Consider the following 27,227-nt stretch of genomic DNA (forward strand, 5'->3'; position numbering starts at 1 on the left):
TTGTCACCACATGTCATTAAGGCTGCTGCTGGTATGATATTGTGAAAAGAAACCAGAAATATTGGCTTGCACAGCTAGGTTTATAGCTTGTGCCAGTTCAGAGCAATAGCTGGCAAACAGTGGAGTAGCATACTTTGTGTGTTAATGGACACATTATTTGACTCCATGATTTTGTTCTGAGTAGCTGGTTTTGGACTTCTCTTTTAAAAAAGAGGCTCCTAACTCATTATGAAATGTGCTAATATAAATAGTTCCAGTTCAACTGATTTTACTGATACTGGAGTAAAAGTGATAACTTGCCTAATGAGAACCTGCATTTTTATCTTGATTATTTTTTGCTGTTGTTGGATTCTTTTTTGAGATGATGAAAGCTTTAGGGGTAGTTTGACAAGTCTCACATTTTATAGGCAGTGAAACTGGCTGAAACAGTTTCATATTCACAGGGACACTTCTCTTGAGTAATTGTGCCCTGAAGTTCAAGTGTATGATTATGAAGAGCCTCATGATAGAAGATAAGAGGGTAGGCGAGGAGGCTAAAGTTGAACATGGTGTTCTTTTCATTATGCAGTTGAGAAGCAGAATTAACGTTGGTATATAGTATATTGTTTGTTTGGATATTCTTCGAGTGACAGGATGAGAGCAAAAATCCCCAGATAAGATGTCTAGTTTTCTTAAAAAGTGGCTTTTAGCAAAGTATAAATGGGAATGTTGGGGTCCTACTACCATCAGTGTGTCCTGATGTGTTAGATAGTGTTGGCTTTCTGCTATTTGGGTTTTTTTTCTGTGTTGTGTCTATTAGGAAGCCACGTGAGTACCATGGCTGAAAACTTGACTTTGCAAATCCATTATTTTTCCCCTCATTCCTCTTTTGTGCACTGGGTTCTTAGGGCAGCCTCCTTTTGTACAGCTGACCAAGGGAAGCTAAGATGAAATTTGTGGAATTAGCAGAAAAGAGGCCAATTGGAGCTTTATAGGCTTATGAAAGTAAAGGAAGACTCATTTCTAGTGGTTAGAGCATCAAACCAAGACTTTGATGCGGTCTTCACTTCCTGGCTCTGTTTTCAGGGCTTCCCCCACACATCAGTAGCATAAGTGGGCTATACAGAATTTGGTGTACTTATAACATGCCATGTTAATAGGCTCTCACAATTTATTATGGTCAAATCACTTTAGTTGTTTAAAAAACAACATGAGTCACATGCCTTCTGTCAGTCTGCAGATATTTATGGAGTGCTTAATATGTACAAGGCACTAAGAATATAGAGAAACCAAACATAAATCTAGCGTTTTGAGAAAGTATGTAGTTTAGTTGATAAAGCCAGCACCTATGAAATAATTTTGAAACAGGTACTTGAATGCCTGATATCAACTAAGCGCCATAGGCTTTTAGAGACAGGCTAGTGAGATAGGCTGAAGTGTTCCAGAAGGCTTCATGGGTGGGGAATGGGACCTAGAAGGGTGAAGTGATTTGGATATATGGGGAAGGAGTTGGAGCTAGGGAGAGCATTCTAAAGGAATAATGAAGGCACAGGAACAAGATGCTACATGGTTAGGACTTGGGGGCAAGGAAAGGCTGGTGGAAATGAGTACAAAGGTGGTAAGTAAAGAGTGCTTGTTAGTGGGGCAGGAGACCTGTGGAGACCCACATGCCAGGCTTGGCCTGCCTAACTAGTGTGGCCTTTGAAAGTTAACTTTCTAAAAGCATCATTTCCTTTATCCATTAGTGGAGAGGTTTAAACTAGTTTAGAGTAAAGCTTCTCAAGCTGGAAGGGAACATAGCTTTACAGGATGTTCATAAATTGTTTTTTAGTCTGAAACAGAGTGATCTACCGCCAAATAGTTTCTGAAACTTGATGGGCTAGACAAAATTAAATGGATGCCATGTTCTGTCAGAATTAAAAGTCTATTGTGTGAATGTGAATTTTGAATATCAGAGAAGGCAATGTGTTGTGCCTAATTTCCTAAATCTATTTTGACCACAGAGCACTTTTATTCTCTGCATTGTAATCTATAATCCAGTATGGGAAATACTAGAAAGGATCCAAAAAAGTCCCTCCAGATCTTGGAATCTGGTGATCTCTGAGTCTGGGGTGAGTGGGCTGATGGTAGACGACTTGGAAAACCAGGCACAGAAGCTTGTAGTCGGTGCGTGGGAGCTGCTTCTTAAGCAGGAGTGGCAAGGGGAGTGAAAGTGAGGAAGATGTAAACAGTGAGGGAGACTAGTCCATGTCTTTTCCTGCTCCCCTTTCCTGCCTGACATCTGCCTTTTTACTGATTGTTACCAACCCCACCAGGAGGTGAATATTGGTGAGTGGTTCTCATTAATAGCTCTTTCAGTGTGATGATACTAGCCCAATTCTGATGCCACCAAGCTGCCCTTCAGCCAATGTTTTATCCTCTTTGTCCCTTCTGGTTTCATATATTGCTGCTCTTTGGCAACCTGTAAAAAAAGGTTGGTTGGGAAAGGAGGTTGACATTGATGTTAAAACAACGATTTCAAATTATCTGCCTTTGGCTTGCTGTATATGAAGTGGTAGTTCAAAAAAGGGTCAGAACCGCTCTTTTGCTGTTACATAGCCAGGAAAAGCTGTGGAACTGTGTTTCTGTTGCATTTTTCACTTTCTTTTTTGGAAAATTTGGCCATGGGACTGTAAAATAAATGGGTCAGTTCCAGCATTTGACTTCTGAAAGTATGCATAGCTTTAGGATCTGAGAAGGGATGAGAGAATTTGGAGGAAAGGAAGGGTGTGAATAGTGTGTGTGGTTATGAATTCAAGTATTTTACTGTACTTACTGAGTTTCATTATTTTACTTTATAAGGCAGAGCATCACTTGAGGAGTATTTATGTGAGATGTGGTTGAACGTTGTGATATGATGATTCCATGCAGCTTTTGTTAATTGTGGAGATTAACTACTTGCACCTTTTTTTTGGAATTAGAATGTAAATGAATCCGTGAATTTAAAAAATGAATTATGAGGTTAGGAATTGAGCCTTTGATCCTGAGAGTAGTGTTCTGTAGTTCTCACTGTTGAAAAAGGGTTAAGAAAACAGAACAGTAAACATGATTCAAGGAGTGTTGAGGGTGATAGATTCTGAGACTCTTCTACACCACAGTTTTATGTATTATCAAAGATAAATGGTGATTATTTAGTTTTAAAGAATGTTAGGATTAGAAATGAGGTCCCCAGATGGACACAACAATAGTTGAGGCTAGCTATTAGGAATAATTTAGGTCTAAGAGCTACGAGATTTGGAAGCCTTTGGACGAGAAGGTCTGTGGCATTTCGGGTGTTTGTGTATGTGTGCACGCACCTGTGTGCACGCAAAGGGTGAAGGATGGTGGGTTAGTGGCTTTACATTTTATTTTATTTTACCCCTATCCTGTATAGTAGTCATAATATACTAAATGCAGCCTAACTTTGTAAAAGTGTTTCATGCTGTTTTTTTCCTCCTCAAGAAGCAACTTTTTTTTTTCTTTCAGAATTAGGATTAAACCCAATATGCTGCAGATGTAGGATAAAGAACCTAGTAATGGGAGAGCAACTGTTAATTTTAGAAAGTTCTGAAAAGATTCAGGTAGATTTGAAAACTTAGATCATTGAAGTTTAGAAGAGCAATATGATAATGAATTTGGTAAAACTTGAGACAGGAGAAGATCAAAAATAATTAGTGAGCTGGGGCAGAACTGTTTTCTCTTATATAATCAGAACCTGTTCCATGAATGTAGACTTTTTTCCCCTCTGGGAGGTGAAGAGGACATAGAATTTAAGACTGGTGAGACCCTAAGTGTGTCTTCTTTCTTCCAAATCTGAGCTGTGTTCTCCTTCGTTTCTTCTAACACAATAGCAGAGTAATGATAGTTTCTATTATAGCTTTGCATCTGTTGGTATGCAATTAATACATACTGTGAGGTCACAAAGAATAGGCCCTTTTTATGCTATTAGTATGAGGAGGGGAGGAGTGAGTTTTCTAGAATTTGACTGCCCCTGCTTGTTTAGGAAGAAACTAGACAAGTACAGGCTTCTGTGTCTTAGTCCTGTTCAGGTCTCTGATTCCATCCATTGCAAGGGGCTCTGGACCCTGAAATCATATGAATTGGTGCCTTCTTTGAAGGTGTTTATTTCATATATTAGTGTATGTGGCTCTCTTAGGGTCCAGTTAGATTCCCCGCTCACCTGCTGCCCACCTCCCTCCTTTCCTCCCTTTCTCTCTCCTTCATATCCTTCTTCTTTCTCTCTCTTCCTTTACTGAGGTAGAGCTATCAAAATTATGAATGCTGTTAATAAAAGGTAATGCATTTAGGACATTGTGTATGAAACGCAGAAATTCAAAAATTTTTAAATTTCATTATTTGAACTGTGACAATCTGCTTGAGGAACTCTAATTTAGCTCTCTAAAGGTGAATTGCTTGCCACAGTTTTCTTGGCCATTACAGCTCACTTTTCTAATTTCTCAGCTTATGTCTGAATTCTAGTTAGTTTGTTTGCCAGAGCAAACCTTATAAATGATCAACTACATACAAATATTTTTAAAATGACTTAACTGTCATTTTAGCTTGCACTATACCTCACGGTGCCATACCCCCTTGTTACCTCTGGAGCCCTGGAAAACCCATGTGCAGTAAAATGGAGTCACAAGAGAAAAGCCCACAGTTTGTAAGTAATGGAAAATTGCTAATGCAAGTTGGGATTCATTTTTGGCAAAAAGTCTTTAAATTGCAAGTATTGTGTGGCTGCTATTAACTGAAGCACAGCCTGCAAATATAGATTGTGACTCTTGGTTACATGGGTGAAATCTGATATTTTCTTTCTTTTATTTTGTTTTTTTGAGACAGTGTCTTTCTTTGGTTGCCCAGGCTGGAGTGCAGTGGTATGCTCATGGCTCACTGCAGCCCCAACCTTCCTGGGCTCAGGTGATCTTCCCACCTCACCCTCCCAAGTGCTGGGACTACAGGTGCATGCCAGCATGCCCAGCTAATTATGTATTTTTTGTAGAGATAGAGTTTTGCCATGTTGCCCAGGCTGGTTTCAAACTCCTGGGCTCAAGCAATCCACCCTCCTCAGCCTCCCACAATGCTGGGATTACAGACGTGAGGCACTGCACCCGGCAAGAAATCTGATATTTTCAAACTGTGGCTAAGTTCTAAACCTGAGACTGAGTTTTAGTCATTGCCAGGGACAAGTTGTGATGACGCCTGAGGGATCTCATTTTCCTTGTTGTCCCCACACCTACCCTCGTCTGCAGCACAAAATCTCATTTTAAGTTTTTGTAAAGTTTCTGATGGCAGTAATATTTTAGAACTTAAAAGGAGGAATTAAGAGATTACAGTCCCATATTATAAGTATTTCTTAGTTGTTATGTTGAAGTAGACTTCTTTTTTCTTGTTTTCTTCTAGATCTCTTTGTTCAGTTATACTCGTTGGCTAAAGGTTGCTGGTTAAATGTTGTTTAGCGAAATATTCTATAGTTAAAATCTTTACAAAGAAAAAAGTAAGAATGAAGATGTGGATAGCACAATAATTGAACATTAGATTATTACTTGTTTTCTAGCCACATGATAGAAATTGCAGTGACTTCCACCCATTCTGTCTGTACATGTTCAGTTGGCAAAGAGAATGAAGGTCCTGGACCGTGCTTTTCTAAGAAATGATTTTATATAGTTGACATTATACTTTCACTGGAGCAAAAAGGGAAACAAGCATTTGATTAGTGTGTCTTACTGCATATTGTGGTCTGCTCCCTCATTTGTTACGGTGGTCACTATGATTGCTTGACAATTACAGTTTTGAGATTAATATGCAGAGCTAAATCTTTAGGAGGTATCCTAAAGTTAGGACCTAAACTTTTTCATAGCAGCCTTTTGATCCATTTTATTCCAGCCATTGCTAGTTGATGTGCTTTCTAAGCCGTGTGGCATCAGAGGCACAGATGTTGTCTTTAGTGATGTAGTTCTACCTCTCATTTTGCAAATGAAAACAACAGCCCACAGGGGTTAATTGACCTGTTCAAGATCACACTGGGAGTTAGAGGCTCTCACTGTTACCCTATGAATCTAGGAGTCTGCTTCTTGTAAGTTAGTACTGGGGAGTCCCAAGGATTGGGAACCTTGGAAGGAGATTTTTTAAAAACAAAAAGTCTTACTACAAATGTGGATGAGCACCCATGATTGTAAAGCTTCCCATTTCAGCTAAGAAATGTTCTGATTTACACAATATCAAGAACCTTTAAAAAGCGTTGTTCTCTCCCTGCGCTCTCTCCCAGTGTATCACCCTGAAATTAGTTGGCCTTTCTCTGTAGGTACATTCATCGTTTTTAAACACTGCCTCCCACCTCCCTTTTATAAGGATGTAAAATAAAAAAATAAATATTAGGGTGGTTTCTCATCATTGAATGTCTAGTGGAAAGATAAAATAATTATTTGGAAGTAAGATGACCTTAATGTGGCCCATGTAAAATTTTTAACATAATTTCTTTGTGTAAAATATTTTCTTTAGCCTAGCAATCTGTGGAAACTCAGAGCAACTTCATAACATTGGTAGCAGGATGTATGGAGTGAGTGAACTTTGGAGTATAGTGGAGTTGAAGGCTCAACGAAAATTTTCTTCGAGGAAATACTTAAAATATTAAATCCACATGACGTGTTGACTAAGGCATCTTGTCTGTTCATTGCTGAACCAGAACATTTATAACAACTGTTTCTCATGTGTATGTATTCATAGCCATTCATATAATGAAAAGAAGTTTTCATGGGATTGTAATAACATATCAAGATGGATGTAATTAAAACAGAAGCAGATTGACACCCTGAATTAAATGTAAACCATAAACCAGGATACCTGAGCATTGTGCCTTACATATTTGCTGTAGGGGGCAGTCAGCCAAATATGCAAATAAAAAGACATTGATGAATCTTCCTGGGTGTGTATGTGGTTGCAGAGAACCCAACTATTTTATTAATCTTTTATCAAGCATTGTTTAGATTTGCAGCAGCCATGGAATGTATTAATTTGGCAGACCAAATAGCTTAGGACCAGAAAGTAGGAAATAATAAAGGGAAGACATGATTGATACGCTGTCCTATAAATAACACATGCGACTGACAAAGGGGCTGAGTAATCTTTAGATCTGTGCTTCATTTCATTAATGGAGTTGTTAAACCAGGATGTTTGAGTTGAACTTCAATCAGAGAGGCTCTGCCTCCCATTTAAAATGCAGGCCTACCTCTACTCACTCTCTGGACTGATATGTTGACAAAATTGGTGTAAATCGAATTTTTGTAAATTGGATCAAATGCACTAGGGGAATCTTGCTGTGAAAAATATGAGTCCTTTTTATCAACTATAGTACTCCTCCTCTCTGCAGGGAGGCTGGGATTTTGGTGGAGTGAGTCTCTTCAGATGGGCATTGCTTCCTCTGAGACAGTTTCCTGCACGTGTTCCCGGTGCTCTGTTCCCCGTGCTCCTGGAAGACAGTGACTGTGAGATTTGCATTTTTTCTTCAGGTTTTATACCTCACTTGGTCGGTGCTTCCAGGAATAATTGGTGGTGATTTGAATAAGCCCGCATCATTCAGATTTCAGAGCTTGGTTTTCAAGTGCTTGCTAAGGAGGGCTCCCAGCTATGAATATGGAATATGATTTCCATATCTGTTCCATTGGGGAGTCCAGGCGTGTCATAACCACTTCAGAGTCATGATTGTATCGAGACACCCTAGCTGTAATTTTTCTATATGACAGTTCAGTTTTAAAATTGTAAAGATGCCAAAAGCAGGGCTGCATTGTTATTAGGGAAGTCAGTGACATCTGTTATATCTTGTTAACCAGGGGAGGAAAATGCTTTAATCAAAACATCTAATTATACCCTATGAACTGATGAAATATCCTTTGCTAAATTTTTGGAATTGGCCTTAATGGAAGAAGCTGGCCTCTATCAGAACTGTGAAGTAAATTTACCCTTTTTATTTGGAAAAATATTTATTCCTAACCATAGTGACATAAGGGTATTTTAATTGTATCAGATTACTTTTATATGTCTGTTGAAAATAGTTATTTTTCAGAAGTTGTTCAAGCCAGCATCACGTTTTTGTTTTTGTGCTCTCTGACTCCCTTAGCATATGAGGCCCCCAGAGGGAGTTTGTATTTCCAGATGTGAGCCTAGGAGGATATGTGGTGTCTTAGAGCCACCTGGGGAGGGAGCAAATGATAATTGCAGGTGAGATGCAGGGGGATAATTCAGCCTGTGTGCTGGGAGGTGCGATTTCACACCTGAATGTTGAGACCTGCTGTGTTAGACACTTGTGTTGTTTTAAAATGTTTTATTACTCTAATATAGAAATGGACCAGATTGTTCCAGGTCACCTTCAGTTGAAAGAATATAAATGTTTTTAAATATTGAAGTATAATGTGATTCCAGAAATGGTTCCTGTGTTTAAAAGTAGTTTTACATATATCTGAAAGCATTAAAATCTGTTTAACTCAGCATGTCTATACTGCCTCTACCTCTGTTGATCATTTTTTAAAAATTGTAGGCCGGGCGCGGTGGCTCACGCCTGTAATCCCAGCACTTTGGGAGGCCGAGGCGGGTGGATCACGAGGTCAGGAGATCGAGACCATCCTGGCTAACAAGGTGAAACCCCGTCTCTACTAAAAATACAAAAAATTAGCCGGGCGCGGTGGCAGGCGCCTGTAGTCCCAGCTACTCGGGAGGCTGAGGCAGGAGAATGGCGTGAACCCGGGAAGCGGAGCTTGCAGTGAGCCGAGATTGCGCCACTGCAGTCCGCAGTCCGGCCTGGGCGACAGAGCGAGACTCCGTCTCAAAAAAAAAAAAAAAAAAAAATTGTAAATTATTTTGGCAATGTGGCTTTCCACTTTGAATCATTCAAGCTTCAAACTGTCCAGTAAAACTATCCTTTTATCTATATTTCAAAACTAGAATTAATTTTAACTATAGCTGTTAGTTGTTTCCAGAATCACTGACGATGATTATAATATTAATGATAGTACATTATTGATAGTCTTAATGCTGGGATATGGATTATTTCTGAGAAATGATTAGGTCTGAGAAATGCTTTATTTCTTAGTTTTGGGGGTATTTCATCTTTCTGACATGGTTTTCCCATGTATGGAGATCTTGGGGCCCACCTGAAGGAGTTTTTTGAAGTGTTGACTGTGACACTATGGGCTTCATGTTTACTTTGGGATCTGGTGGGAAGTTCAAGTGCTATTAATTTTTCCTTGGTCTGTTTTATGCTTTGTAATGGCTTTCTGTGTGTTTTTTGGGAGTTAAGACTAGAACCTTGGAAAAGAGAGAGCCAGAGTTTTCTCCCTATATTTCTATTTTAAAACTTTTTTTTTTTTAGACATGTTCTCGCTCTGTTGCCCAGGCTGGAGTACAGTGGCGCAGTCATGGCTCACTGCAGCCTCGACCTCCTGGGCTGAAGTGATCTTCTCACCTCAGCCTCCTGAGTAGCTGGGACCACAGGCGCGTCTCACCACGCCTGGCTAATTTATTATTTGTAGAGACGGAGTCTTCCTATGTTGCTTAGGCTGGTCTTGACCTCCTGGGCTTAAGCGATCCTCCCATCTTGGCCTCTCAAAAGTGCTGGGATTATAGGCATGAGCCACTGCGCAGCATTTTATTTCTTATGTATTGTTATTCTCTCTGTATTCTCTGCCTAAATGTAACCCCTGCACTCTTTCTGTATATATCCTTCTGGGGATATTTGAGGCTTTCAGAACTGTTTCTTTCTTCACTCAGTAATCTATGCATAGTAGGTACTCAGTCATTGCTTATTTACAGTTGACAACAATTCCATGAAAAGAAATTTTTGAAGAGGGAGCTGCTATTTACTATTCGCCTTGTGCCAGGCATTGTGCTAGCAATTTTGCATTCGTTATCCCATTGACGCACCCCATGAAAAAAAGAATAATAATCTCTGTTTGATAGTTGAAGAAACTGAAGCACAGAGCCGTTAAATCAACTTGGCCAGGATCAGTATAAGAGAGGCAAGAAATGTAGCAGTTTTTGCCTGACTTGAAAGCTTGGGCTCCTTATCCCTTTACTCATTTTCATACAGATGCATTTTGTGAAAGATGGCCACATGGTCTCTAGTAGACCACATTTGTTCATTGTTGTGCTGAAAATTGTTACAAAGGATTTTCTAGGTATAATAATAGGATTTAGGGAGGGGAGAGTACTTATTGTCCAGGTCTTTATTTCCTTTGAAAAGTTGGAGCTTACAGTTAGGTTGCTGCCACTCATACAATATATCTGTAACATATTCGTTGTTGTTTTTTCTCTGTTTCACTGTTTCTCCCTGTTATAAAATCTGACCTTTTCCCGGGTTATACTACTCAGGTAGATTTTAAACCATTGTCAAAGGCAAGGATTCAGGCTGATGATATAGAGGGTTATTGTATGTCAGTGTCTGTTCTAAACCCTTGCACTCATTTATCTCACTGAATTCTAAAAGTAGCTCTCTGGAACACAAATGTAAAATTGGAATGAGGACTAGCATGCCCTCACAGATTACTGTGCATATAAGCTTATATTCTGCTATAGATTCTGAAGTATTTTGTCTTGTCTGCTTTTAAACTGTTCTAGGAAGCAGCACTTGTCTTGAGAATCTATTTCACAATAAAAGAGACCTTGTTTTGAGGGCTAGGTGTATTTTTTTAAAATCTATTAGGAACTCTATTCTTTCTGGTAAAAGACCACACTAAATAGCTCTTTTTGCTTTTCTTGATATCTGTATCTTGAAGATACCAGGTGACAAATAGTCCATTGATTTCCTCTGTCATTGTTTCCTTTCATTATTCTAAGCAGATTTGCAAATTGTTCTCTCCCATTTCCCATTCCACCCTGTTAAGGTTTGTTTATGCTACAAAGAGTATGCTAATGAATATAACTGTTAGATTTACTTCTTAAGGAAATCCCAACTGCATTTAGAGTACTGTACATTTTTGAGAAGGCTCCTCCTCATTTCCCCTCGGCTAAGATGGGCCTCCTCACAGGTCATTCTCTGGGACTTCACGATTCAGAACTGGTCCATTACCATTCATTTACAAGGAATGGGGGTTAGTATAAAGATACACACACAGAATACCCTCACTGGGCCTGAATTTTCTAAAGATTTCTAGATGAATATGAAGATCAGTCAAGTTACACACTTCTCTCAAGAGTCACTCTCCGTCTCTTTCTTTCTTTCTTTCTTTCTTTCTTTCTTTCTTTCTTTCTTTCTTTCTTTTTTTAAGAGATGGGATCTCACTCTGTTTCCCAGGCTGGAGTGCAGCAGTAATCATAGCTCACTGCATCCTGAAACTCCTGGCCTCAAGCGATCCTCCTGCTGCAGCCTCCTGAGGACCTGTTGGTGTGTGTCACCATGCCTGGCTAATTTTTTAATTTTTTTTTGTAGAGACAGGGTCTTGCTGTGTTGCCCAGGCATTCTCAAACTCCTGGGCTCAAGTGATCCTCCTGCCTCAGCCTCCCAGGTAGCTGGGACTGCAGGTGTGAACCACTACCCCTGCTAATTTTTTTTGGAGGGGTAGAAATGGGGTCTTGCAATGTTACCCAGGCTGATCTAGAACTCCTGGTCTCAAGTGCTTCTCCTGCCTTCACCTCCCAGAATGCTGGGATTACAGGTGTGAGCCACTGCGCCCATCTGAGTGTCCGTATGAAGAGAGGTGGCAGTTTCTTCTTGGAATCACCATGCTCTGAGACACACAGTCTTGCCTTTCTCTCTCCAACTGTCTCAATAAACACAATTGCCCCTTTGTATGTCCCGAATGGAAATACCATACTAGAATTCTATTTTACAGATTGTAATTGTTGGGGAGACCCAAGTCAAAACATGTTCTTTGAAATTTAAATATAACTGTAAAAGGAACCACAAAGTCTAGGGCTTTAAAGGTGATCTTTTATGCTTTGATTTTATGTATTTGTAAAATACAAGTTCTATATTGACTCTAGGGCCTGTCTCAGATTGTAAACCCTTAGATAGTAACTGTGTCTTTTTAACTGTTCCTTGTATCCTTCCTTGCCCCTCTGGTGGTCTATAATACCCCTGTTGTGATGATTTTGATTAAAGAAACATAGTGTGAAGATGGGCTGTCAGGGATGGGTGTCAGTTTCACTTCAGGGTAGTGGGTGCCATCTATTTTCTGATTACAGGTGAACATTACTTTAGCATTATTTTTTTTTGAGACAGAGTCTTGCTCTATCGCCCAGGCTGGAGTGCAGTGGCATGATCTTGGCCTACTGCAACCTCTGCCTTCTGGGTTTAAGCGATTCTCCTGCCTCAGCCTCCCGAGTAGCTGGGATTACAGGTGCCCACCACCACACCTGGCTAATTTTTGTATTTTTAGTAGAGACAGGATTTCTCCATGTTGGCCAGGTTGGTCTCGAACTCCTGACCTCAGGTGATCTGCCTGCCTCAGCCTCCCAAAGTGCTGGGATTATAGGTGTGAGCCACTGCATCCGGCCTATTTTAGCATTCTTGTTGTAGATTTCTACATCTGCTGCCCATATTTCAGCTGTACTCTTATTTTGTTTAGTATGGTGTACCTGGGATTAGGGACAGACAAATATGTATGCTCAGCCTGATTTGGAAATTACATTGTTGAAATACAGCCCATATGGCCATTGTAAAATGGTTAGTGCTGCATATAATTGCCTTTCCAATGATGTGCTTTGTCATTACTTCCATCTTCCAAGAAGCACTCCTGTAGCATGCTGACAGCAATAGCATCATTAGAAAACATATGGACATGCAAAGGCATTAAATCGTCTTTAGTTTAAGGATTAGATTACAGTGTTAGAGGATAGGTCACCAGGCTTGCAATCGATGACTCTTGCTTAGTTCAGCACTGCTAGACTGGATGATAGAGATTTGCAAAAGTCCTATTTACTTGTCTGCTGAGTGTATTTCATATCTTCCCTGCAATTGTGAGAAGGTCCTTTAGCTGTGTATAAGCCTCTATCACAGTATTGCAGCCAGTTGGCTTCTCAGGAGTGTTTTTTTCAACTATTCATGTCCTGTGCAGAATTCTTTTCTAGGATGCTCCCTCAACCTCTGTTTTTCTGAATGTGAGCCCAAAGCAGGCTAAGCCAGGAATTATTTTATTTGGGGGTCATTTAGATATAAAAAGAGACTAAGTGGTGGAGTCAAGAAAGTACCAGGTGGCTGCCATGTTGCCCAAATATTTCCTCCCTTGTACAGCATCTATCTCCACATGGGTCTCAAGTCCACCTCCCTTCTTCCTTTCCCCTCTTAGAAGCAATGGGATTATTGCAGCCTAGAGGCTCAGTGGTAGGTCCTAGAGGCCGAGGGACCATGTGATAGAGCCTGGAAAGAGACCACCCCCTGAATCCTGCCCTTTGTAGTTGGATGTTTTTTCCCCCCACAACTAGATAGGTTTACTATCTGGCTGTAAATATTCTAGGGATGCAACAGTTGTGGGACATGGTATGATTTGAATTTTCAGGGTCCTTTTTGTAGTTGCCAGTGAATAGTAAGTGAAATCGCAGAATGGAACATCATTCATCAAATTTAATATTTCTTCTTTGGAGTTTAACAGAAATAATGTGGATTTGGGGACTTTCAGAGTGATAAGGGACTTTGGAGATCCTCATGGGCAGTGGTTTTGGGTACCTCAGGGTACGCTGAGTCATTTGAGGGGAGATCCTGACTTTATTAAATCAGAACTCCACCTTTACCTGTCTTCTATATTTATACTTATGTATTAGGATTACATTCTCTTTGAGAAGAAAAAAGTGTCTGGATTTGTTTATTCTTTCATTCAAAAAAAATTTATTGACAGCTTCTGTGTGCTAGGCAGGCAGTACTCCAGGCACAGGAAGTACCATAGTAAATTAGAAAAAATAGATATCTATTTTAATGGAGTTTATATTCTAACAAAGGATGGGGGGACATACTGTAAATAAACAAATATATAATATGTTGGGAGGTGACAGGGGATTTTATAAAGCAGGGTAAAGCAAGAGTGAGAACTTAGCACAGCAGGTCCTCAAATAACATTGATTCTTTTCATTATAATGTTGATGAGAAAAAAAATTGATTCCTGGCCAGGGCAACTGTGTGGAGTTTGCACCATCTCCTCATGTATGGTAAAATTGCTTTCATTATGCATCGTGTCACGTATTTAACTGAGGACTCACTTGTATGTGTATGCTTACGTGATGCTTTATCCAGGGTGGGTTAGATAAGGCTCCTCTGAGGAGGTGATATTTGAGCAGAAACTTGAAGGAAGCGAGGGAGCAAGAAATACAGATAACCCGGAGGAGAGCTTTCAAGGAAAGGGGAGAACAAGTGTAAAGGCTTTGAGGAAGAAGGAGTGGCATGGTATGTGAGCAACACAGGAGATGTTGGCGGCTGGAACAAAGCCATTGAGGAGGGGACAGAGAGTGGGGAGGGGCCTGCAGTCACTTTAACTGAGTGACGCCAGAAGCTTAGAAACAGCAGAAAGCAACTGTCCAAAGCCCTCATTTCCCAACTGAAAGTGTTTTTGAATTTCCCCAAGGTCACCCAGCTGATGTATAAACAAGAGCACATCTGGAGCTCACGTTATATTCTTTTAAAGTAGCTTCTCATTGTACCTTGTGCCACCACTCCAGGTCTTAGGAGACATGGGGCATCTTTTTGGAGACAAGATTTGTGTCTCCTTTCCTGTTAGTGGGTATGGCTCCTCCAAGAGATGTGCTTCAAGACTCTACAGAATTCCAGTGCCCAGTCATCACAAAGTGGGAAACGGCTTTGCCAGTGCCAGAATCACCACCATTTGGGGAATTATTTTAACCACAATGGCTCATGTTTATCACAGGCTTACTGCTTGTGATGTTTGTTGTACCCAGAGCTTTACATGCATTAACACATCTAACCCTCACAACAACTCTGTATAATAGGTCACATTATCATTATTTTAGAGATGAGGAAATTGAGGTGCAGAGAAGTTAAGTAATTTCTGTATGGTCATGCAGATAGAGTTGTAGAGTTGGGATTTGAATTTAGACTATTTGCTTCAGGGCCTGCACTGAGCCTCTGACAAAGAGGAGGGGGATGAGCTTGTCTCTAGATAAACTAATTGGAATATGCTCCCCTCGCCTCCATTTTAAGATGGTTCTAGGTAGGGCCTAGCCTTGGGAGTAATACCAACTTGTCACAACCCACTTCTGTGACTCCAGGTGTTAGTTTGTGTAGAGGATTTCACAGCCAGTCTGGCTCAGTACTGGCAACTTTGCTGATTTTAGGTGGATTCCTGATTCAGCAGGTACCTTTGGTCTTTCTGAGCTGAGTTTGACTGGAGCGTTTTTCAAGACCTGCATGAGAGTGTGTTACGGAATACAGGCCAGTGTTTTCAAGTCAGCGGACCCAGTTTTAGCTGGTCTGTCTTTTTTAGCCCCAGTGAAGTAAAAGCCCCAGACACCACCAGTGCCCATAATCCATAGGAATGTAAAATCATCTTTTTAGTACTGGTGCTTTTGAGGACCAGTACACTATGTGCTTGCTTTAAATTTGTCTAAAAATGTATGCATATGTAGATATGTGTATATATGACTATGAAATATTTTCTAGGTATGGAAAAGTATAAAGCATAACATAGCCAACACCCATGTACCCACCACCAACTTTAAAAAACCTTATGACTTTACTGTAATTTTCTTAAAATTGTAGGTTATTTTTAGTGAGCAGGAACCACAGTCAACCGTAAGTTTTAGAGTCCAGGAGGCTCAAACCTGGCCACACATTAGAATACCCTGGGGATACCCTGGGGAGCTTTAAAAAAGTCCTTGTACCTCTGGGAGGGTGCAGGAAGCCCCCACCTCTATCATCAGAATTTTAAAAAGCTCCCCAAGGCGAGGATTCTATCATGCAGTCAGGGTAAGAGACCTGCTGTTTGGAGGGTTGTGTTTGGTTTTTCTTCACTGGGTTCTCAGATGCCTGGTACCAAGCCATGTGTGGTACTCCTGGACTTTATATTTCATTTTCTTAAAGCATTTTTTAATGTGGTTCTACTTTCAAGATTCTGGAGGGTAATGTCCTGGGGAGTTCCTCTCCTTAGACTCTTCCCTCTTCAGCACCTTATGAGGCAAGCTGCGGATATATTTACATATTCATTACAAAGCATAAGCATCAGGAACTTAGAGAGTAGGAGTGAGGCATTAGAGAGGGGACTAAGAAATTCAGAAGTATTGGGAGCTACTGTCTGTTGAAAGTGTTTGAGATGAGTGAAAGTTATAGCATTACCTTGGAAGTCAGGGGGATGCAGGGTTACATTTAGAAAACCTGGAGTCACACATACCTTCACAGGAAGGCTCTGAGCTGTGGGATGGTAGTTGAGGGCCTTTTTGGTCTACATCACAGGTTTATCAGTGAAATATGTGGTAAGATGTACAAATAAGATGTGCCCCACCACCAGAATGATCAGTTCTGTGTGGACACGTCCGTGACTGTACCCTCTTTCAGAAGTGCTATCAATTATGTGTTATGTGTGGCCTGATTATCCTCTGTGGGCCTTGGCTCCATGCAGCACCTCCATCCCCGTCTGCCCACTCATTCATTCAACAAATAGTTGCTGAGTTTCTCTTCTCTATGCCAGGTTCTGTTCTAGGCACTTGGGATAAAAACAGTGAACTAAACAAAGCTTCTGCCCTCAAGGAATGACATTCTGGGGATGTGGGGGAGAGGTGGGTGAGTGGGTGGTGTTACATTCTGGTGTCGCATTGTTTTTTGATGTGTCTAACACAGAAAAAGATGTGTAACTGTAATCCTCCTTTAGAAAGCTCTAGGGGAGCCATTTGGCAGGTAGGGAAGTGTTTTGCCTAATTTGGCTTAAATTATGATTTTTTGATTCTGAGGATTTTGATTACAAATGCCTTCATGAATCTACTTCTTCAAGAGAAATTAAGTGCTGAGACATTAAAGCTTCCAGGGACCTTTTGAATTGGTTGGATTTTATTAGCAGCTTAAAATGAGCATGACATACAGTAAGGTTCAAGCTTAGGGGAGATGCTGAAGAAATAAGGATACTTGATTTTCTTTCCACTTGAAGTGGAATCCACTAATCCATCTGTGCTCATAAATTTGAGAGAAGGAGGGCGGAAAACGAAAGTTTATTTCTAGGGCTCTCTACTGGGCAAGGCTATCAGGTTACCTTCATTGAAAAGACTTAATCAGAAGTGAAACTTAAATCTGTTACAGTCTTCCACAGCTGTCCAGGGAATTGGGCACTGATGAATACCGTCAGATGGACCCCTGAATAGAGGGAATGCCTTAGAGGTCATGTTTGGAGTTAGTCAATAAAATGGATCTCGAGAAGAAAATAGAAAGTTTGAGGGAAAAAAATTACTGGAAAAGAAATCTTAAAGCTTTTGGGTTAGATGTTAGATGGATGACGAAAACAGTGGGTGATATGATTTCCTTTCTGGATTACCATCTTCATCAGATATTGTTGTCGACTACAGAAAAAATATTCCCAGCACGTAAGGACTCTTTATACCTGTGAGCTCTTAAAAAGAATCATCTAAAATACTAAAAAAGCAAGAATATGTTGTTTCACTAGCTTTTGATTCCTAAAGTAGATTTTGACTTCCGGGTGTGGGAAGGTGGGTGGAAAATGAGTTTTTGTTAATATTCAAAGGCATGAAAACATTTTTACCAGTTTATGTTTTCCTGGTGCATTTAGAAATCTGTGGATCCTTGGGGATGGTGTATGCAGGCAAATAGAGAATCCAGTACTTGTGAATCTGCCTGAATCCACAGGTTTGGGAATAAGGGCAGGGACTTGAGGGTTCACAGATGTGAAGGTTGTACACAGAACTCATGCAGAGAGATACAAGATCTTTTTGTTCCCCCTTTGATTAGAAAGAATAGGACATGAAAGTACTTAATTGTCAACTTCGTCTTCACCATAAGCCCAGTATTGATGCAAAAATGATAATAATAATGAGAACAAGCATTTATTGAGTATTGGGTATTCTAATTGCTTAAATCAACTCATGTAATTCTCACAGAGTGGTTCTATGAGGTTGGTGCCGTTTTGATTCCTGTTTTAAAGGAGAGGAAACAGGCACATAGAGTTTACACCCAAGGACGAGTGTGTCAGTGGTGGAGCCTATACATTCTGGCTCCAGAACCCGACTTGAACCACTACATAAGGGAACTAAATAAATGCTTCTTAAGAGTTTTATTCTGATGTTGCTTTTACTGGGACTTTCACTCTTTTTTCTACCCAACCCACCCCACCCCTACCCCACTCGCCTCCACTTTATCTTTGGATGTCTTCAGAATCTATAATATATCTTAAGCTTGCACCTTATTACAGATGAGAAAATAGAGAGCTATAAAATTATGTTATATAATTGTTCTGTATGACCTAGTGAATCTTTGGTAGAACAGGGATGTGGAACCCAGGTTTTCTAATATTTAGGTCACTGCTTTTTCTCACTGCACTGTATGGCTTCCATTAAAAATATTTTAAACTAACTGAACTAAAAATTTATAAACTTAATTTGTGTCACTCATACTTCTGTGGATGAACTACATTAAAATAACTAGGTGCTGTGAGATTTTGCTCTAGGGAGGAGGGTGGTAGACATTTTAGGAGCTAACATTTGCCTCTGGGGTTATTTGACCTCCTCCTGAGGATGTCTTTCTAATCTTTGGTAGGCGTACTTAAAAGTGAGGAGAAAGTATTTGAGGAAATACAAGAGCCATTCGCAGACTTTAGTATGATCTGTGGGTTTATGGAAGGGCTTTTTTTTTTCTTTCTTTCTTCATTTAGGCCTTTTTTACTTTAACCTCCAGTGGGGACACAACTAACTTAAATCTTAAAAACAAATAAACAAACAAAAACCCTAAATACAAGCCTTCTTTCGCTATTGTTTGGCAAATAAGATTTCACAAGAGGGTAGAAAGAACTGCCTTGATTCTTGGTGTTTTAGACTTTCCTATAGTCTAGTTTTTTGTTTTTGTTTGTTTTTTCTTTTGGTCCTGTGATTCCTTTTGTTGTTACCTGTTTCCTTGGCTAATGCTTTGTTTAAAAACAAGTGCTCTGGTATTCCAAAACAAATTTCCAGCAGGCTTCCCGATTGTGTTCTCAGATAAAAGACCCCAGGGTAGTGCTTTAACTTGAATTTTGGTTGCCTATGCATGCCTGAGAGCAAAATTCAGTTTACTAGGTGGCTTCCAACCCAGATTAATATGGTTATATCTAAAACGAGGGAATATACATTTGAAACAGGAAATGTGGATTGGATTTACCCTTTCAAAGAGCCCTAATGTGAATGTAATGAGTAGAGTTTTGTCTGGGGTTAGATACTGTGGGCTCCAGTTTGTTTTTGAGTTTTTAGCTGAATGAATGACTTTAGTCCTGTCATTAAACCTCTGGAAATTTAAACTTTCAACAATGTAATAATGATAATGAAAATAGGGAAAGGCTCCTAGACTGTGCTGTGGAAAAACACATGTTCAGATTTTACTGAAGACCCAGAATCCCATGTGGCCACAGATAATTTGATTTCACAGTTTCTATTTCTAGATATACAGGATGGGGTTGCCAGCAGAAGTTACATAGTGATAATAACATATCAGCTTCCTTTTTAGGGAAGATATTGTAATTGTGAGAAAAATATTCAGAAAAGCCTTGGCCAAATATTGTTTGTAGTTGGTAAGAGAATACTCAGTTATTAAAGCTTCTGCGAACCTTTTCCAAATAATTACACTTTTTCCCTAAAGGAATCCTCCCACCTCAGCCTCCTAAGTAGTTGGGACCACAGGTGCTCATTACCACACCTGGATGGGTGGATGGATGGAGATATATATATATTTGTAGAGACGGAGTCTCCTTATGTTGCCTAGGCTGTGTTACATTTTTTGTCACACATGTTGGGTATGGAGAATTTGGAGTAGGTAGTTTCAGATTTGCACATCACAAGTTCTTGCCTTGTGCAGTGGTTTCTAAACCGAGTTGCATATCTATACTCCATGGTAACTTGGTAAACATACTGATTCCTGGACCCTGTGTCTGATCTACTAAACATTAATCCCTGCTCTGTGGCTCTGGAACATTAGTGTTTTGTTTTCTTTTTGGGGTTTGTGACAGGGGGACAAGGTCTCGTTCTGTCACCCAGGCTGGAATGTAGTGGGACAGTCATGACTCACTGCAGTCTCAAACTCCTGGGCTCAAGCAGTTCTCCTGCCTTAGCCTCCCAAAAAGCTGGGACTACCACCACCACGCCCAGCAATTTTTTTTTTTTTTTTTTTTTTTTTGCAGGGGTAGAGACAGGGTTTCACCATGTTGCCCAGGCTGGTCTTGAACTCCTGGGCTCAAGGAATCTAGCTGCCTGGGCCTCTCACAGTGCTGGGATTATGGGTGTGAGACACTGTGCCTGGCCTGGAACATTAGGGTTTTTTGTTTGTTTGTTTGTTTGTTTTTAACATCAAGTTCCAGTATAGAAGTTTCAGAAACACTATTTCTTAAAATATTTTTGAGTGTTTTCCTGGGGCAGTGGTAATGGTGATGGTTTACAATAATTTATTTCTATGCTATGTAACTTTTCTGAAAAGAAAACATTCCTGTGTATTTGGTTTTAAAACCTTATTTACTGTAAAATAGAACACATCCTGGAAAAAGTGTAGTGTACAGCTCAATGAATGATCCAATGAATGATCACAAAGTGAATACCCAGGTAACCAGTACTCAGGTAAAGAAATAGAACATTGCCCCCTCCCCACAAAAAATGATTTTTATTAGATTCCTCAAATTTTCTTTTCTATTCCTCCTCAAATCCCAAGAAATTAGAGATATAAGTAAAGGTTGATGAAACAATATAATAAGGTGTAAGTGAAAAAAGCATTGTCTTTTGGTAGGTGGTGTTTCTTAATTACTCTTTTCAGTAAGTTTTTGGTGATGTTAAGTTTGTGTTGTTTATCTATGTTTTGATTCAGCCTTAAGCCAGTTCTTGACAGTGACTGTCTATTAATGCTCACAGCTGATATTAAGATTACGTTCTAAGATCTATCTTTTCTGCAATCTGTTTCACTGAAAATATTCTCATGATAGTTTTGAAAATGCGTAAGGACAGATTATCTTCTGACTCTAATAAACAAGTGAGTCTTGTCATTACTGTCCAGGTAACTTAGGAAACCTGTCTCAGTAGCCAGGTATCTTTATCTGGTACATGATAAAATGTGGTTTCTTAGTTTTTTTTAAAAAAAGTTCCTTCCTCCTCTCTATCCACCCAGAATAATCTCTCCTCCATTCCAACCCAATCAGAACATTTAAAGCCCTGATGGTTTTTCTTTTTTCCACTGAAGAATCATTCAATTCTTAGTGAGAGAAGGTCTAGCTGTATTAAATAGCAAGCTTGCCCATTTTCTTTGGAAAGGGATGCTCATGGTAAAAGGACCTCAAGCAAACCCTGCACTTAAGCTGTGTGCAAGTGGAGGGAGAGAGCTGTCTGCAGCCACCTGCCAGCAGCTACACATCTGTGCTCTGCTAGCAAGCATGTGGGCTCTGTGGATGTGAGAGCTGCTCCCTTTCCCCTCTCTGCCTCATGCTCCCCCATCTTAGTGATCGCCACTATCAACTAAACAGGTGACAAGACTCCAATCACCCTGCTCTGAATGGCTCTCCATCTTCCCAAAAGTATACCAGAGGCCTGTTTTGTTTCAGTACATTGATTAAATAAATATTCCTGTGTGCACAAAGGAACTGAAATCTGTTATGGCACTCTGCAGTTATCTGTCCATTAATAGTGGAGAAACTACTGCCAGTTTTCTCCCCTCGGTGCCCCCGCCCCCCACCCCCTTTCTTGTCACTACCACGCAGATTCTCAAAGGTGCCAGTAACAGATAAATTATCTGACCTCTGCTTTCAGGCTTGTGTGAAGCGGGAGGAGTGGTGTCATGCTCTTTGGTGAGGCATGCCGTTGGGGCAGTGCCCAAGTGTATGGATAATAGGAGAGCCCGAATGATTTAGATTAGAAGATGCTTTCTTGCTTTGGGGTTGTGGGACCTTTGTCTCTCCCCTTCAATTCTTAGCAGAAGCGGACTCAGAAAGGTCTTTCAAATTAGCTTGCCTCTCTTTTATAGGAAAAGGGTGCTTCTGGCCCTGAAGTAGTTCTGTGTGTCTACTGTCAGATGTGGAAGCCACAAAGTGCCTGTGAAACTTGGTCCCTTGCGTTTATTTACAAGTTTCTTTCAAATGGCAGTGGCAGGAAGGATCTTTACCATTTGGGCAGATAGCCCTAGTGGTTGATGGGAGGGCTTGGTGGAAGGGCAGGCTTTGTGAAAGATCCAAGTGTGGAATGGTAGGAATTCTAGCCATGGTGGTGCTGACTGGTTTCCTTTCTTTTTTGGCGGGGCAGGGGCTGGGGTGGAGTGTTGGTTAAAAGAACACCTAGATAAAAAACATGACGGATTTCGAAAGTGTTATTTGGGCTGCGCACGGTGGCTCATACCTGTAATCCCAATACTTTGGGAGGCTGAGGCTGGAGGATCCCTTGAGTCCAGGGGTTTGAGACCAGCCTGGGAAAAACAGTGAGACCCTGTTCTATAAAAAATTTAAAAATTAGCTGGATGTGGTGGCTTACAATGGTAGTCCTGTCTACTCGGGAGGCTGAGGCAGTAGGATCACCTGAGCCCAGGAGATTGAAGCTGCAGTAAGCTGGGATTGCCCACTGTACTCCAACCCGGGTGCCAGAGTGGGGCTCTGTCTCAAAGAAGAAAAGAAAAGAAAAAGACAGGGAAGGGAAAGGGAAGGAGAAGAAAGAATGACAATGGAACATAGGAAATTAGGGTTGTAGAGAAGACTCTATGAACATTATTGTGGTGTGAAGGAATGGCATGCAGAGATAAGTGTGATGGAAGGGAGGTGTTGAAATGTTTACAGCTCCTAACATCTACCACCAAGGAGGGGGCACCCCTTTGACAGAAACGAGAGGGTGTTCCTGAGTAGTTGTGACATTAAAAAAAATTGCAGGGAACCTTGTAGCTGCATGGATGGCAGAGACACATAAGTAGGGAAAAATGTTGGAATAGGTAAAGTGAAATCTCTTAGTGTGTGTGTCTTCCAACTGACTGTGGGTAATTAGTTGGAAATGACATTAACCTGAGCTTAATTGTAATTTTGCATAGTAACAACATACCAGCTGTTCACTGTATTCTTTCCTGGAGGTGCGATTTAATTATTATTATTTTTTTTTGCTATCTTTTAAGCTCCAATTTTCTGTTATGTTTTACTTAAACCCCGCCTGGTTGCCGTGTCCACAGTCCCCACAGTTTAGCAGTAATGTCATTTTTGTTGCTTTCATGCCCACTGTGTGCTGAGGGCTTGGGATGCTCTTGATTTTGCTAATGACTTGGATTTATAAAGGGCCACATTGGAAGGTCACTGAGAAGCATGGGTGATTGGAAACCTTGTGTTTTGGGCTCTTCCACAAGGTTTTAGTTTATTATATAAATCATATGCATAATTCTAGGCCTATCAGAGGTGCTCAAAGTATCAAGTGAACAAGCTGAAAGAGAAGTTAATTACTGAACAGTGATTGTTCTGATATAACCAATTATTGGATCATTAAATGTTTATTACCTTTTATATGCTCCTTTCCCCCATAAGGGCAGTTTCTTTTTTAAGTCATTAAAACAGAAATGGGATCTTAAAAAAATTCTGCTTAAAAAATTTCCACGAGACTGAAGTATTAAAAAGGTCTTGTGTGATCTGACAGCTAAATAGCCTGTTTTTCTTTGGTCTGTTGAATTAGTAATTAATGAAATGTATTGCCTGAGCAGAGAAAATAAGATTAGTTTTGTTTAGGAAGAAAACAAAAGCAAAACATTAACCCCCAAATGCAGGTTAATATTAAAGTGCAGTATAAGAAATAGAAATAAAACAGTCTTCTTGAATGATAAGATGCCTAATGGTAACATTTGTTTCATTCATTCATTCGTCACTTTCTTGAGCACCAACATTATGTTTAGAAGGAATGGGTTTATGTAAATACAGAGGAGGCAAGGTGCCCTGTCCCCAAAGACACATGGGTTAGCAGAGCAGTTAAACCAGACACTTTAGGCGGCCAGGCACAGTGGCTCACACCTGTAATCCCAGCACTTTGGGAGGCTAAGGTGGGCGGATCCCTGAGGTTGGGAGTTGAAAACCAGCCTGGCCAACATGGAGAAACCCTGTCTCTATTAAAAATACAAAATTAGCCAGGCGTGGTGGCACATGCTTGTAATCCCAGCTACTTGGGAGGCCGAGGCAGGAGAAACACTTGAACCCAGGAGGCGGAGGTTGCGGTGAACTGAGATCACGCCATTGCACTCCAACCTGGACAACAAGAGTGAAACGCCGTCTCAAAAAAACCCCAAAAAAACAAACAAAAAAAAACAATAAAAAAACTCAGACACTTTAGTAGCTACTGTTGCAATGTAGAAAGTGGTAGGATAATAGGTACAGGGGCATTTCTTTGGGGAGGAGTGGTTATGAAGACAGGTTACTTCTGGAGGCTGAGGCATCCTGTGGATTAAGAGTAGGGGAGAGCATGGTTATGAAGATGAATCTTGCTTTTTGAGGTCACGGTGTCCTGTGGATTGAGTAGAAGCCCCATTACTTGGGTTCACAGCCCAGCTTTGCCACTACCTAGCTGTGTGACCATTTATCTCAGTTTCCTTGTGTATAAAATGGAATAATAGTAATGCAACCCTCACAGGTTTGAGGATTAAATGAGTTATTATATGTGAAGTGCATATAACAGTTTACAGCACATAATGAACATTATAATCTTAGGTTGTGGTTATGTCATTTTTGTGGGATAATGTGATAGAACTTCTTAGGGGAGATTGCATTTGATTGAATGATGAGGAGCGGAAAGATGTTTCAGGCATTTCTTGTATTGTCCCATGTAGCCACATACCTAATTTATAATGCCTGCAGTAATGTGTCGGTAATGTGTGCTTATGTAGTGCCATTGTCAAAAGATTACAAAGGGCATTTACAGACGTTTATTCTAAGAACAGTCCCCTGAAACGAGATGGTTTATGCATATTCTTCTGAAGTGTGAGAGGGTGCAGAGCAAGCCCATCCTGTTCTTCCATTGAGGTGTGCTTGGAGCCTGTGTTTGTTGTGGGTAATTTAGACTCACAGAGAGAGGAAACTTTTAAATCTTTTAAATTATATCTTAAATTCTTAAGTTATATTTGCAAACAAATGTGGTAAATAGATTTTAAAAATGTTTTCTGTAGCTTCTAGCAATAGTGGAACTTGTTTATTCCTGAGGTACCAGATCATAGGCAGTTGAATTTAGAGGAAGTTTATAATAATGAACATTTGTCGTAACTGTGAGGTTGCCACTCTGTATTAGTTTTCACACTGCTAAAAAGAAATTCCTGAAACTGGGTAATTTTATAAAGAAAAGAGGTTTAATTGGCTCATCATTCCACAGGCTGTACAGGAAGCATGGCTGGGGAGGCCTCAGGAAACTTACATGGTGAAAGTTGAAGGGGAAGCAGGCGTGTCTTCATATGGCTAGAGCAGGAGAAAGGGAGAGGGGGAGATGCCACACTTTTAAACAAGCAGATCTCATGAGAACTCTTTCACGAGAACAGCAGCAAATGGAGAAATCTGTCCCCCAGGATCCAGTCACCTCCTACCAGGCCCCACTTCCAACATTAGGGGTTACAATTCAACATGAGATTTGGGAGGGATACAGACCCAAACTATATCTTATTATCCTCATTTTACAGTGAGGAAACCGAGGCACTGAGATGTTCAGGAGTGTTGCTGAAATCAAAAAGAAGTGTTGACCCAGGATCTAAGGTCTTTATTGCATTTGCGTAAACCATTTCATTTGATTTGTGTGTTTTACAATAACCCTTTGAGAAAGGTCAGTCAGCTGCTACGTGCATTTTGGGAAGTATCGTTTATGAGAAGTTGGTGGGGCATCACAGTGAGCTTAGCATGGACTGAAAATTTTGGGGTGGCTGTTGTATACCCTTTTGCTACTTCAAGCAAGACACTTTTGGGCCTCAAGATCTATAAAATAACAGAGTTTGGAGGAAACATTGAGTCTGTAAACTATGAAATTCTTGTGTAGCTTGGAGTGAGACCCATGTGGGAATCTTTGGCAGCCACCGTTTACCACCTTAACTTTTCTGAGCATGTTTTATTATTGGTAATATGGAGCTGTGGTACTCCCTTTCTTCAGGGCTGTTTTGAACATAATGCTTATAAAATACCTGACAGACCTTGCTAGCTCTCAGCCAACGGAGGTGGGATTCTTGTTAATTGTTTCAAACTAGGGGTCATACAGGTAGCTGAGCCTGGGTGAGAAGTCCAGCTTCTTAACTCCTCTGGGGCTGGTTCTCTTCAGCACCCAAGCCATATTGCTGGGGATAAGGAAGACATTTTAATGAGATGAGCCCCAACTTCTCATTAGAAGCTGCAGTCCTGATTCTTTCTCTAGATCCTATCAGGTTGCCAGTTGATCCAGTAAGTAATGTAGTAAATGTAATGGATCCAGTAAAGAGTTTGGGGTTTTCATGGAGTAATTTCCTAAAATCACCGCAGTCAGTAGCCTGTGAGCCACATGAGGGCAGGGGACTTGCTCTCTGTGGTGTTCACCTTGTATAATGCAAGGTGATGGGACAGCTGGCACATAGTTCGGAGTCTGGCAGTATTTATTTTGTGAAGGAAGGAAGGAATGAACAACCTCAGTGAGCTGTAGAAAATGGTATGAGAAAGGGAACAGGATTTTTAAAATTTCAGTTTTGTGGGACAGAGGAAATTGAGGCACTGAATCAGGCAGGTTATGCCCAGTCTCTGTGGTCACCAGGCCTTAAAATTGGGCATAATTTATACCCTTGAAGATGTTGCATGGCAATACCTTCTGGTGGGTGGATCACCTGAGGTCAGGAGTTCGAGACCAGCCTGGCCAACATGGAGGGGAAACCCTGTCTCTACTAAAATACAAAAATTAGCCAGGCGTAGTGGTGCACACCTATAATCCCATCTACTCTGGAGGCTGAGACAGGAGAATGGCTTGAACTCTGGAGGCGGAGGTTGCAGTGAGCCGAGATCGTGCCACTTCACTCCAGCCTAGGTGACAGAGCAAGACTCTGTCTCAAAACAAAAACCAAAAAACATATTTCTATTGTGAAACAAAATTTTATCCATGTCAGGAATTTCCTCTGAACTAGAGTATGTTCATTCCTCTTT

The 27,227-nt window shown here is 40.6% G+C and overlaps 1 protein-coding gene across 17 annotated transcripts in view, besides 2 other annotated features; it reads left to right on the forward strand.

Moving 5' to 3' along the window:
- AUTS2 (activator of transcription and developmental regulator AUTS2) overlaps positions 1 to 27,227 on the forward strand; it is a 1,195,032-nt gene that overhangs the window by 4,648 nt on the left and 1,163,157 nt on the right. The gene's annotated exons all lie outside the window — the stretch shown is intronic.
- Positions 5,506 to 6,479: an enhancer, noted in NCBI's record as "OCT4-NANOG hESC enhancer chr7:69073614-69074587 (GRCh37/hg19 assembly coordinates)". NCBI's record gives its function as "activates a minimal SCP1, AML or CMV promoter by ChIP-STARR-seq in naive and primed H9 embryonic stem cells {active_cell/tissue: H9 hESC(naive and primed)}" and the evidence as "EXISTENCE:reporter gene assay evidence [ECO:0000049][PMID:30033119]".
- Positions 6,984 to 7,546: an enhancer, noted in NCBI's record as "NANOG hESC enhancer chr7:69075092-69075654 (GRCh37/hg19 assembly coordinates)". NCBI's record gives its function as "activates a minimal SCP1, AML or CMV promoter by ChIP-STARR-seq in naive H9 embryonic stem cells {active_cell/tissue: H9 hESC(naive)}" and the evidence as "EXISTENCE:reporter gene assay evidence [ECO:0000049][PMID:30033119]".

Source organism: Homo sapiens, chromosome 7, assembly GCF_000001405.40.
Source record: "Homo sapiens chromosome 7, GRCh38.p14 Primary Assembly".
Classification (NCBI taxonomy): domain Eukaryota; kingdom Metazoa; phylum Chordata; class Mammalia; order Primates; family Hominidae; genus Homo; species Homo sapiens.